Raw genomic sequence first — 12,530 nt, 5'->3', positions numbered from 1 at the left:
AAATTGTGTCAAAATATTTCAAATTTTAATTAATGACAGAATGTTATGGTCTAGGTCAGGAGTCAGCAAACTTTTCTGTAAAGAGCCAGATAGTAAATAGTTTAGGCTTTGTGGGCCACATGGTCTTCTGTTGCAACTACTCAACTCTGCCATTCTAGTGCCCAAGTAGCAGTAGAGAATATAAAAGTAGAAGTGTGTTCCAATAAAACTTTATTCAAAAAAACAGGCAATAGTCCAGATTTGGCCTGTGGGCTATACTTTACTGACTCCTGCTCTAGCTGATACCACAAAACTCTATAAAATAGAATTTAGACTAGATTCAACCTGCATAAATTATTTCTAATTACAGTTGAAATTCTGATACTTCAATCTTTGGCTGTAAAACAAGAGTTGGACACAAACTCTCTGACATAACTGTAAAAAATACTGGAATTATAGCCAAAGTTACATTAATAATATTTATCATACTTAAATACATATAATCTTCAGTGGACAGATGGTAAAATAGAAACAAAATACTCAGGATGCTTATTTAAAACAACTAAACAATGTTCTTAGTTGCCTGAATTACATTTTATACGATTTTATTTTTATGGCCTATTTCTGGTATTCCTACATACTTGCAAGAGATTTTAAAATCTAAGTAGCTTAATTGAGCTCTTATTTAAATAACATCACCTTTCCATGTATAGTAAACTGTTCATATTTCTACAGGTACTAAGAGTACACTGGAATTACGTGTTACATATAAATGGAGAGGTGGAGGGAAGGGGGAAAACTTGCACTAAGTCGCCTAAGAGATAAACTGATAATGTTAGTAAGACAGCTTTGTATTAAAAACTTTTTATACTACAAGTTACTGCAGAATCATCTACTGTAAGTTTTATCTCCCCACCAGAAAACTGAAATGTTGATTTACAATATTAATGTAAAATATTTAAAAATAAATAAAACAAATGTTGTTTCCCCTAATAAAAACTTAATACCTATTATATCAATGTACTACAAATCAAGGAATTAAGAACTTAAAGTTTAATGAGTATAGAAACAAAAAACCATGAGCCAACTCCCTTTCAACACCTGCTCACCTGAATACTGAATACCATACTGTTGAGGCTGCTGAGGTGGAGCCTGCGGCTGCTGTGCACCATAGCCGGCCTGTTGCTGGTACTGTTGGTACATCTGACCTGAAAACACACACACACACACACAAGGAAAAAAGGCATGTTTAATGTGGCAAAGAGAAATATTTTTAAGATACATATACATTCCCTCTCCATCCAAACAGAGTAACAATATACAAGAAAGTATTTGTTCAACTTTAAATGTCTATGAAGAAGAGAATGAACCATTTTAGAAGTGTGATTCCTCTGCTGTGGATTAACTGCAGAGAACTAACTGGCAATAAACATTAAGTGCAACACCAGTGGCTACCATTTCATAAAGTCTAGAAAAACAAATGTTTTCCAACCCAGCTGCCAACAGATAAGTAACGCTAATGTTCATTAAAAGCCAAGTGAGTTGAAAATCAGTAAATAAAAATGAGAAAAGGGACAAATACCATTTATATCATCTAAGTCCTTCCTAAAGCACTGTATTTGCCCTCTAAAGGTATGGGCCTCTATTACCATATGAACAAACTCTTTGGTAGCAAGGAACTATATGACATCTTTTGTTCCAGAGCTGAAAGACACTTTTGGAATTTGTCAAGTTTGATTTTCTATGAATATCCAACATCTTTTGCCAATAACGTGGACTCTAATAAAGTCTAAATGGTTCTTCATTGCACTATTTAATAATGGCAGACCTTTTTAACAACGGTGATGTGTTCTTGAACATGGGAGTCCTATTTGTCCTATTTGGGGTCAACAACCACTGTTCCTATGAAGAAACCCTTTAGACACTTATTACCTATGATTTTTCTTTTTACTTTTTATTTTTCTGTCCTCACAATCTGTTCCCATACCTGTGATTTTCAAGCAAAGATTTATTGGTTTATGTCTTTATTATCTCTACTTCTCAATTATTTCACAATGGTTGATTTAGCTAGATGTAATATCTAGTAGCAATAACCTTGCATTTTAATATCTATCTGGTATTTAAATCTTTAAAATAATCACATGTTGGCTGATTCTTTGAAAAATATTCAAACTACCTATTAATCAAAAGACTATGAGCAAACCAGATACTTACTGCTGAAGTGAGAAAAAAAAAAAGACATTATATCAACTCCCACTCAAATCGAGCTGCAGTAGGCAGCTAGGACTCACAGGCTTAGAAAATGAGACGGAGCCCACTCTATTATACCAGCTGCTCAGCCCTATACGTGTCTAAGTTTTTAGTGCTGGGTAGCACTAAAGGAGATACAACTATGTTTATATCCAGCTTATTTCCTAGCAAATGTTTCTTTATAATAAAAAAAGAATACAAATAAAAATCAGCTCAACTATTTTAAGCTATTTATCCTATTCCCAAATATGACAAGAAAAAAAAAGAAACGCTTACAAAAGTTTCTTAAATGCTTTCTTAATGATTTAGACTAATAGCATAAAAGGTAGCACAGAAATTAACCAAATTTAGATGCCACCTTAATCCTGGATTGTACTTCATAACTAACTTTCGGAATAGAAGTGACCAGAATCTAAAATAAAAAGGTAAGTAGGTACAGAAATATAATCAAGGGGAATAAATACGTATAGCACATAACAATGAACTCTTAATTCTTGAAAATTAGAAGGCTTAACTCCACAATAAAAAAATAAGCAAACAGGCAATAAACACATTTAAAAAAATTCAACCATATTAGTATTCCTTATCTCAGATACAGAAAAATTAAGCAACTTACCTGCAGTCAATAGCTAAGAACAGAACCATGAAGAGCTAAGAACCATCACTGGAACTCAGGCATAACTCCAAAGCTTTAGTTTATAAAGTCATTTTGCATATATTATCCCATGAACAAAACAATATAAATATTAACTTGGGCATCATCAAAAAAGGCTGAGATTAAGGTTCCACGTAGTAGTAGACTGTGGTCATCAATGAGTAAGGAACTCCTGGTCAAAACCACAGTTATTCCCCTCAATAAAAATTTATAGGGTACAACTCTTCATAAAGCTTTTTTTTTTTGCATGTTTTCATAAACTGCTATAAATTGATTTTGAAAAACATCCCTAGAGTTAAAAATTTCAGAGGTTTATTATATCTCTACACAAGATTCCTTTTACACAGCAGATCCTCAAATAACATCTTTTGTTCGACATTGTTTCGTTAAAACACTGAGAAGGAAAAAAAAATTATTCCCAGTTGGGGTTACTGTTCTGTGTAGAGTCTGCACATTCTCCCCAAGTCTGTGTGGGTTTTCTCTGGGCACTTCAATTTCCTCCCACATCCCAAAGATGTGTATGTTAGGTTACTTAGCATGTCTAAATGATCTCAGTCTGAACGACTATGGGTGTGTGTGTGGTTGCAATGCACCCTGCAATGGAATAGCAACCTGTCAGGGTTGGTCCCCACTTTGCTACTGAGCTGATGGGATAGATTTCAGCCACCCACAACCCTGAATTGGAATAACTGCATAAATCATTATCTTATTTGTTTTTATTAATCTTTCTTAAATGTATCTATAACTCACATTTGTTTTTAGTCTTTATCTAGAAGTCTGGGGGTATTTTTGTGATCAGAGATATGCTGTAGGAACTCAACTTACTCATATCAATTAGCCTATGGTAGAACTGATTTCCTCATACGTCATCTCACTTAAAGTTACAATTTCCAAGAACCTATCAACAATGTTAAGTGAGGATTTACGGTACTTACTTTAAACCCACCTCATTCAAGTCCAAATGGGACTGTCACAGTATTCTGAAAATTAATTAAGAAGTCTGTTTAATTGTTTAAAAAAAGAAAAAGGATGAACTTCTTCACATACTTGAGAGATCTATAGGATATATGAAGAGAGCAAAATGCAGACATTGTTTATAGTAAGCAATGTTTTGAGTAATAAAAAATATGGTCATGCATTGCTTAATGACAAGAGTAGGTTCTGAAAATTGTGTCACTGTATAATCATATAGTATACTTACACAAACCTAGATGTATATAGCCTACTACATAGCTAGGCTATATGGTACATAGCAGTCTACAAACCTGTAGAGCATGTTCCTGTACTGAATACTTAGGCAATTCTAACACATGGTAATTATTTGTGTATCTAAACATATCAAAACATAAAAAAGGTACAGTGAAAATATGGCAAAAAAGATAAAAAATGGTATGCCTGCCTAGGGCACTTACCATGACTGGAGCTTGTAGGATTAAAAGCTGCTCCAAGTGAGGTACTTGTGTTGAGTGAATGTGAAGGCCAAGGACATTACTGTGCACTACTAAAGGTTTACAAACGCTATACACTTAGGCTATACTACATTTATTTTTTAAAATTCCATTTCTTCAATAAATTAACCTTAGCTTACTGTAATGTTTTTACTTTATAAACTTGATTTTTTAACTTTTTTAATACTTTAGCTTAAAGTACATTGTGCTACTATACAAAAATATTTATTCTTTATATCCTTATTCTATAAGCATTTTTCTATTCTTTTAATTTTAAATTTTTACTTTTTTAAACATTTAGAAAAAAATTATGACACAAACATACACATTAGCCTAGGCCTATACAGCATCAGGATCATTGATATCACTATTTTCCACCTCCATATCCTGTCCCACTGGAAGGTCTTCAGGGTCAAGAACATCCATGGAGCTCTCATCTCCTATGATAACAATGCCTTCTTCCGGAATACCTTCTGAAGGACCTATCTGAGCCTGGTTCTACAGCTTTGTTTTTTTTTAAATAAGTAGGAGTACACTCTAATGATTTAAAAATATAGTATAGTAAATTCACAAATGAGTAAGAGAGTCACCTATCATCATTATCAAGTATTAGGTACTACCCATAATTATGTGAGCTACACTTTTATATGACTGGCAGTAAGTCTGTTTACACCAGAATCACCACAAACACGTAAGTAATGCCTTGTGCTACATTATGATGGCTACACATCACTAGGCAATAGAAATTTTTCACCTCCATTATAATCTTATGAGACCACCATCATATATGCAGTCCACTGTTGACTGAAATGTTATACAGTGCATGACTATATATAAGCTATGTTTTATGTATATTTTCAAAAAGAATCAATGACAGAATAAAGTAAAAAGTAATAAAAAAAATTAAGGGGAAAAGAGAACAGGATGAAGCAAAGAGTAATGGTAAGACTTCTGGGAATTATTTATTACACAGAGTAGCCAACCTCTATCATGACCCTCAACGGCTTCTGCACATGTATAGCATTTATGACAATGGGTTGGTATCGTTTATATTCTTAGAAATTAGAAAGATTTAACTCCACAATACAAAAATGACCAAATAAGCAACAAGCACATGAGTATCTGCTCCCTGTTAGTCCCTCACATACTGAATAGGGCTGACCTGTATACCAAGAAAATATTGCAGAAATGACAGTGACATTTCTGAGGACAGGCTATAAAAGGTTATCTTCTACCTCACTCTCTTCTGATTACTCATTCTGGTGAAGCTGTCATGTCATGAGGTCACCCAAGCAGCCCCATGGAGAAGTCCAAATGGTAAAGAACTGAATCCTCCAGCTCTGGTTAAGCTTCAGATGACTATAACCCCAGCAGCCATTTTTAACTGCAACCTCATGAGAGATGCTGAGCCAAAATCACCCAGCTAAACCATTCCGGGATATCTGTCTAAAACTGTATGAGATAATTAACTTTTGTTGTCTAAGTATCTATGTTTTGGGATAATAGTTACACAGTAATAAATAATACACATAGTTTTGATTTTAGAAACATGTAAGGGATTTTAGAAACATGTAAGTTTTTTCTAATGGCTATTAGAAAAAACGACTCAAGACACATTAACAATGCAAAGTGTGAACCTTGTTAGGCCCCTCATTTGAACAAGTCAATTTAACAAACGAATCTTGAAACAATTAGGGAAATTCAAACACAGACTAGCACACGTTGACATTAAGAATCACTGTTGAGGTTGCAGGTGAGCTGTAATCAAGCCAGTACACTCCAACCTGGGCAACAGAGTGACACCCTGTCACAATTAAAAATAAAAAGAATCACTGTTAAGTAACAGCATGGTGGTTATATTAAAAAGAAGATTATCAGTTGGACATATATACTGAAATACCTGAGTATAATAAGCTGTTCATAATTTGATTTAAACTACTCCAGCAAATTAAAAGGGGTGCAGTGGGGAAAAAATGATGAAAAAAGAATGCCAAAATATTGGTAAGTGTTGAAGCCACATGACTACATGAAGAGTTGATTATTCTATGTATGTTTCAATATTTACATAATAAAGGCTACTCAGCTTTTCATTATATTGGCATATGATTTTAAAGATTTTAATTATATGCTTTTTCATTTTTTTAGGCTGTCAAACAGCAATATCTCCCGATCTCTGATGATTTTTAGCGTTCTTCTCCTTACCAGTTACATTTCTGGCAACATCACATAGTCTTCCTGTAACAGGCACTGGCTTTATATGAAAAAGAGTAACATTATCCCTTTTGGTTTTTTTTTAATGATGCTCAATATCTTGTTGATCCTTTTAACTGAAAAACATATTAAGACTACATTTATTTGGAATAAAATTCACAGTTCCAAAGTCCCTTTTATGGGAGTTAAGTAACAACTCAGAATTCTTAATTTTAGTATGGACTATTAACACATTGTAAGAGATTGCTATGTTAACAAATTATAAGTAATACATTTTATGTTGGTAATTCTGCTCAAATTATAACCAGTAGTTGATCTAAATAACTGACAATGTCAAAGACTCATTATACAACAAAAAGTAAAAGTAGCCTATAATTCATGCTGGGAATCTATAAATAACGACTATATTTATCTAAAGCTGTGCTCTTAAAATAATCACTAGCTACATGTGGCTATTGAGCACCTGAAATGTGGCTTGTTTGAAATGTGATATGTTGTTTGTTGTTTGAAGTGTTCCAAATCAGTGTCAAATCCCAGACTTCCAATACACAGTACCAAAAAAATTAACTTTTTAATAGTGAGTACACGTTGGATACATTAGGCTAAATAAAATTAATTTTACCTTTTCTTAAACATTTTTCTAATGCTGCTAAATAGAAAAACTACATGTGGCTTCTATCGTAATTCTTTTGGACAGCACTGATCTAGAATTAGATCAGTTATTAATAGTTTAAATGATGTCACATATTAATTGTACAATTTTCATACTGTATGTTTTAATGTAAGCTAACAGTTAATTGCAGCAAGGCATACAATACTACTCTAAAAATTAAATGCATATAAACAGTGTTAATCTGCTACCTCTGAAAAAAGGAATTTGGTTGCTGTGGACAGAGGTGGGAGAGAGAATTTTCACTGTATGTCCTTTCGCATTTTTAAAATTTTACTTATTTGAAAATGCTCAATTAAACACTTCATAGAATGTTTAGATATTGCTAGTAGCGCCTTAATTCCCATTTATTTATACATAAACAGCAAACATTATTTGGTACAATGATCCTTCCAACTGTCATTGTATCACAGTATACACTGCTTAAAATGGGATTTATTTAAAAACAAATCTTTAGTTCGCTTGATGTAGGCATTAAACTCTCATCATACCTATACTCTGCTTTTGTCCATTTCAGCTGACATCTGCTTTAGTTCTAGTTTGTTCTAGTTTTGGCAGTAGCATTTTGGTGCAGAGGAGGAGTTAATTAAAGTTGGTTGAGAAAAGGCTTAAGCAATAAGAAATTCTTCGCAAACCACTGATTCATCAGCAAAATGTCACCTGCTAGTCCATAATGACTGGTGTTCATCCAACAGACAACTCTGTGGATTTTTTTTTTTTTGGCTTTGTTTGTTTTTGAGACAGGGTCTCGTTCTGTTGCCCAGGCTGGAGTGCAGTGGAGTGATACAGCTCACTGCAGCCTAGACCACCCACTTCAATTCAACAATGCAAACAATCCTCCCACTTCAGCTTCCCAAGTAGCTGGAACTATAGGCACATGCCATAGCACCTGGCTAATTTTTTTAAATCTTTTTTTATTTTGTAGGGACAGGGTCTCACTATGTCACCCAGCCTAGTCTCAAACTCCTGGGCTCAAGTGATCCTCCTGGCTCGGCCTCCCAAAGTGCTGGGATTATAGGCGTGAGGCACCACACCTAGCCAGGTAACTCTGAAAGTATCACCACAGGATGATAGGATTCTATTCCAAAAGTGGTCAGTTCATTTTAGCCTATGTTTTGTTTTTGTTTTAATGTAATTGATAACCTTAATCACTTGCTTCTGGGGCTGGAAATACATTATACCACTATCTGACCCGTTAAACAAATAGTTAGAGCACCACCTGGTGTTTGTTTTGAAGTGGAATGCGGCTTTAAAGGTCCCAACACACATAGACAATACAAAAATCACACTTCATTATCTGGAAGGCACCCTAGAGATTAGTTAAGTACTTAGTCACATTCTGCAGAACTCCAAGGTTTTCAATGAGGCACCTTAGTGCCTGCTGTGTGAAGTCTGTTGCCCTTCAATCCCCTATTTTAAATATGGAGCTTTCAGGTTATATTTCATTCAGAACTAAAGACATTCTTTTGAAACCACTGGGTTCAGTCCAGTTTTCACATTTTACAGTGAAAGAATATCAAAACCCAGAGAGACTAAACTGCATATCCAAGGACAGATTATTTCAGAAGAAAAAGTCTGACTTAAAATACACTGCTTTTTTTCCATTAAAGACATATTGCTAAATTTACAAAATTATAAAAGGCTACTAATCTTAACAAAAAAAACCCACTACAACTAAAGTTATCCTTTACCTCTATTCAGAAATCTTTTTTAAATTAGAAAAATCATGCACAGATGTTGAAGAAAGGAGGGAGATAAAATAGCATCTATAACACAAAATAAAGTGTGAAATCACCAGTCTGAACTTCACTATCCTCCCCTCCAAGGGTCACCACTGACTAATGACTGGTCTTTCACTCTGTATCTATATTCATAGAAACACTTTTTTGAGGTATTTTTTTCATTCCAATAATTGGAAACATACCTGACATATTGTTCTATTTGGTTTTTTAACATCAAATCATGTCAGTAAATCAAAATTTTTCCTGTGTTTAAGGCATGACTAAATACATGAAGTGTTTACAACAATGCTGTAATAAACACTTCTACACATGTACTTTCCCAAACATGTGTTCTAAACTCTATTTTACCTTCAATCTGACCTGCTTGAGTCTGAGCTCCTGTATATGGTGGCTGCTGTGGCTGAACGCCTGGTGGGTGAGCTGCTGAGGAGGAGGAAGCAATGCTGTCGGGTGTTCCTGAACGATCTTCTGCAGGAGCACTGGGTGGCCCTGGATAGTCAAAAAAAAGTCAGTTTAGTATCCAACACAAGGCCTTCCCCCAGCAAGCTCAAGGAATAAGTTTGGTTAAAAGATACTAAAAGTACTATAGAATAAGTATATAACCACAAATACGCCTTTTTACATTAAATGTATGTACTTTATTTTTTCCTTTGCTCCAATCTCTTAATCCAAAGCTACAACTGGAACTCCTTCCTTATAAAGTGTAGAGTACTATATTCCTGAGTCTTAACCTCTCCCTGCAAAAATCAAAACTCATGTCTGCAATGCCAATATCCCCCTACTCCAAGCAATGTATTCTGCACAGGAACCAAAATTGTCACTTCATTCTTCAAGGGGTCTTCACTGACCATAAATTAAGTTCAACCTCCTAGTTTGGCATTAAGGGTCCAAACATTATTTCTCACAATTTCTCTTCTCACATGCCTCCCTTTCAGCTAAACTAACCTTCTCCCTACTCCCATAACATAGCTAATATTTTTTTGACCTCTATTTCTCTCCCACTAGATCCCATATATTTAAATATAACATTCACATATTTAAATATAACATTATTTAAAATCCAATTATAATTCCACACTTCTAGTAAGCCTTCTTGACTCATGAATACTTTTTCTACTAGTGAACTTCTATCTAGTTTACTTTTGTTAACTCATACTGACTTCTACTTTGCATTTCTGAATAGCTCTCACTTTCCCTCTTAAAGACTCTGCACTCTTTTGGCCGGGCTCCTGACTGTTGATTCTTTTTGTCTGCCGAACAAGGCCTAGCACTCTAACTTACATATGGAGCCACTATAATTCTTACAAAATAATGAACACAGAAATGAATGGAGAGAATATATTACAGTTCCAATGCTGTGACAGTCAAAAAAGATATTCTGAGGACAATGTAAATATGTCTTATTCCTTTAAATTCTTTCTGCTTTGGCAATGCAGAAGAGTGGTTAAAAGCATAGGTTTTGGAGCTAGACTACCCAGGTTCAAATCCTAGTGCTGTCACTCACTAGCTGTGTAACTCTGGACATGTTACATAATCTCTTTCTGTGCCTCAGTTTCCTCATCTGTACAAAGGATATACTAATTCCTACTTGATAAGGTTATTGTGAGGATTATGAGTTTACAAGAGCTTATAGCATGGGCTTATAAAAGGAATTATACAGCAAAAGCTTATAAAAGTGACTACTACTCAGAAAGTTCCATATAAGTACTTGCTATTATCAGCAGACTAATTTCTCTAAGGGCAAACCTCTATCTTCTGCTCTGATGTATCCCCAGAACTTACCACAGTATTAGGCACAGTTGACAGCTGACAGTCCAAGTATTAATAAGAACCTAAACTAGGATATAATAGTGGTAATGCAAGAGAGACTGATGATTGCCAAAATAAAATGGATGATGGTTTCTATCTACCACCATTTTACTTAAATTTATATCTATGTAGATAAATACACACATTCTTCCCACAAAAGACACTGTTATTAGCCTAAATATATATATTTATTACTTTGGCTCCTCTTTCCTCCCTTATATGTAATTTATTACAGTTAATATTCATTCCATGTTTGTAATATTTTATCCCTCCTTCCCACTGCCACATTCATTATTCTAATAAGCCACATTTTTACCACATCACACCTGAAGAACTACAAAAGTATCCTAGCTATGCATACAGTTTTTCCTACTATAATTCAACATACAAAGCTGTGAGAAAAATGGTCTTCAAATAATGTGAATCATATTAATATTATTCTAGTCTGGAATATACTACATTTAAATCAAAATTTAAAAGTCTGACCTCATCAAATTTTCACACAATTCTCTTTTGTGAGTAATTCCATGAAAGTCTCTAAGAAATACAAAATGGACTGTACACATTTCCAACTACTGATAAAGGCAAAGTAAATCCATCAGATAAACTCTCTCCCAGGTAACAACTAAAAACATGAACAAAACAAAAGAAACTATTTGAAATAACTGAAAGTCAATCAGAAACCAGAGGAGTTTACCCCAATAAAATTAGAATGGATAAGAATTAAAAGCGCTGACCTCTGCAGCTCCAATGGCAGAAAACCACAGTGTTAACAACCTTATGGCTAGACAAGCAGCTGAAGATTTAGGAGGAAAATCCCGGAAGTGAAGGTGCTACTGAAAGGGTAAGACCCACGATCTAGGTATATACACTCTGTCCAAATCCCCAGCTGACTATAGGGCTGGGAGAGCAGACGAGGATATCTCAAGAAGGCTCAGAGAAAAATGCAGCACCTAGAGCAAGCTGAAAGGACTGAGCATACATATCAGCTGCTATACACCATAGGGAGAAAGAAGGAGCAGTTTTGAGTATGTGAAAGTTATCAAAACCAAAATGAAGTCATTAATGTTAAAAAAAAATTAAAAACTCTGATAAGGCCATGAAGAGAGGATTCTTGCAAAAACTATCACAAAAGAGTTCAAAAACCACAAGCCTACACAAAGGCCATCACAACTTTGCAAAAAAAAAAGCAAAAAAAAAAACTTCTGTGACTGTGAGGACATCTGCCCAGAAACTGCCTGTCCAACCTCAGACTGGCATCACTCTTGCTAATGATCTTTGTAGCCAACAATAATTATTTCAAAACAATTATATATTCTCCTCATTTTTTCCTTTAAAAACCTTTGTCTGCCTTTACCTCACTGAATATGCACATAGTTTACTATGGCATGCATATTTTCAATGCAATGCTCTATTCCCAAATACCTTTTTCTTTTAGAGAGCGCTTTTCTGTTTGTTATTTATGTTAAGTCCATACAAATCAACTCCCTGCTAGATCAACAATAACAGAAAATCCTCAAAAGAATATAAGTCCAAGTCACTACAACATATTAACCAGAATGTCTAGTTTTCAACCAAACACTATCAGACAGGCAAAGAAACAGAAAAATGTGACCCTACTGGAGTTGGGGGGAGTGTGTGTGGGGGAGAGGAACCCAGTCAATAGAAACTGACTCCAAATGGGTCCAAGTGTTACATATTGCAGATAAACATTTTAAAGCAGCTAAATATTTTTAAAGAATCAAACATAAATACATTCAAACAAT

The 12,530-nt window shown here is 34.5% G+C and overlaps 1 protein-coding gene across 12 annotated transcripts in view, besides 1 other annotated feature; it reads right to left on the bottom strand.

Annotated features, from left to right (window-relative positions):
* Positions 1 to 12,530, bottom strand: part of TFG (trafficking from ER to golgi regulator) — a 39,678-nt gene that overhangs the window by 2,948 nt on the left and 24,200 nt on the right. For 6 of the 12 annotated variants that reach the window (NM_001007565.2, XM_006713472.2, NM_006070.6 and 3 more), the window contains exons 6-7: positions 9,304 to 9,444; positions 1,089 to 1,187 (exon numbers count right to left, since the gene is read on the bottom strand). In NM_001007565.2, coding sequence (NP_001007566.1) covers positions 1,089 to 1,187; positions 9,304 to 9,444 — 240 coding nt within the window. The remainder of the gene's footprint in view (positions 1 to 1,088; positions 1,188 to 9,303; positions 9,445 to 12,530) is intronic. The other 6 variants (XM_005247066.3, XM_017005527.2, XM_047447243.1 and 3 more) reach the window with 1 other exon arrangement.
* Positions 7,936 to 8,813: an enhancer, noted in NCBI's record as "OCT4-NANOG hESC enhancer chr3:100456051-100456928 (GRCh37/hg19 assembly coordinates)". NCBI's record gives its function as "activates a minimal SCP1, AML or CMV promoter by ChIP-STARR-seq in naive H9 embryonic stem cells {active_cell/tissue: H9 hESC(naive)}" and the evidence as "EXISTENCE:reporter gene assay evidence [ECO:0000049][PMID:30033119]".

This window comes from Homo sapiens, chromosome 3 (assembly GCF_000001405.40).
Source record: "Homo sapiens chromosome 3, GRCh38.p14 Primary Assembly".
Classification (NCBI taxonomy): Eukaryota; Metazoa; Chordata; class Mammalia; order Primates; family Hominidae; genus Homo; species Homo sapiens.
This window is presented reverse-complemented; position numbering and strand designations above follow the sequence as displayed.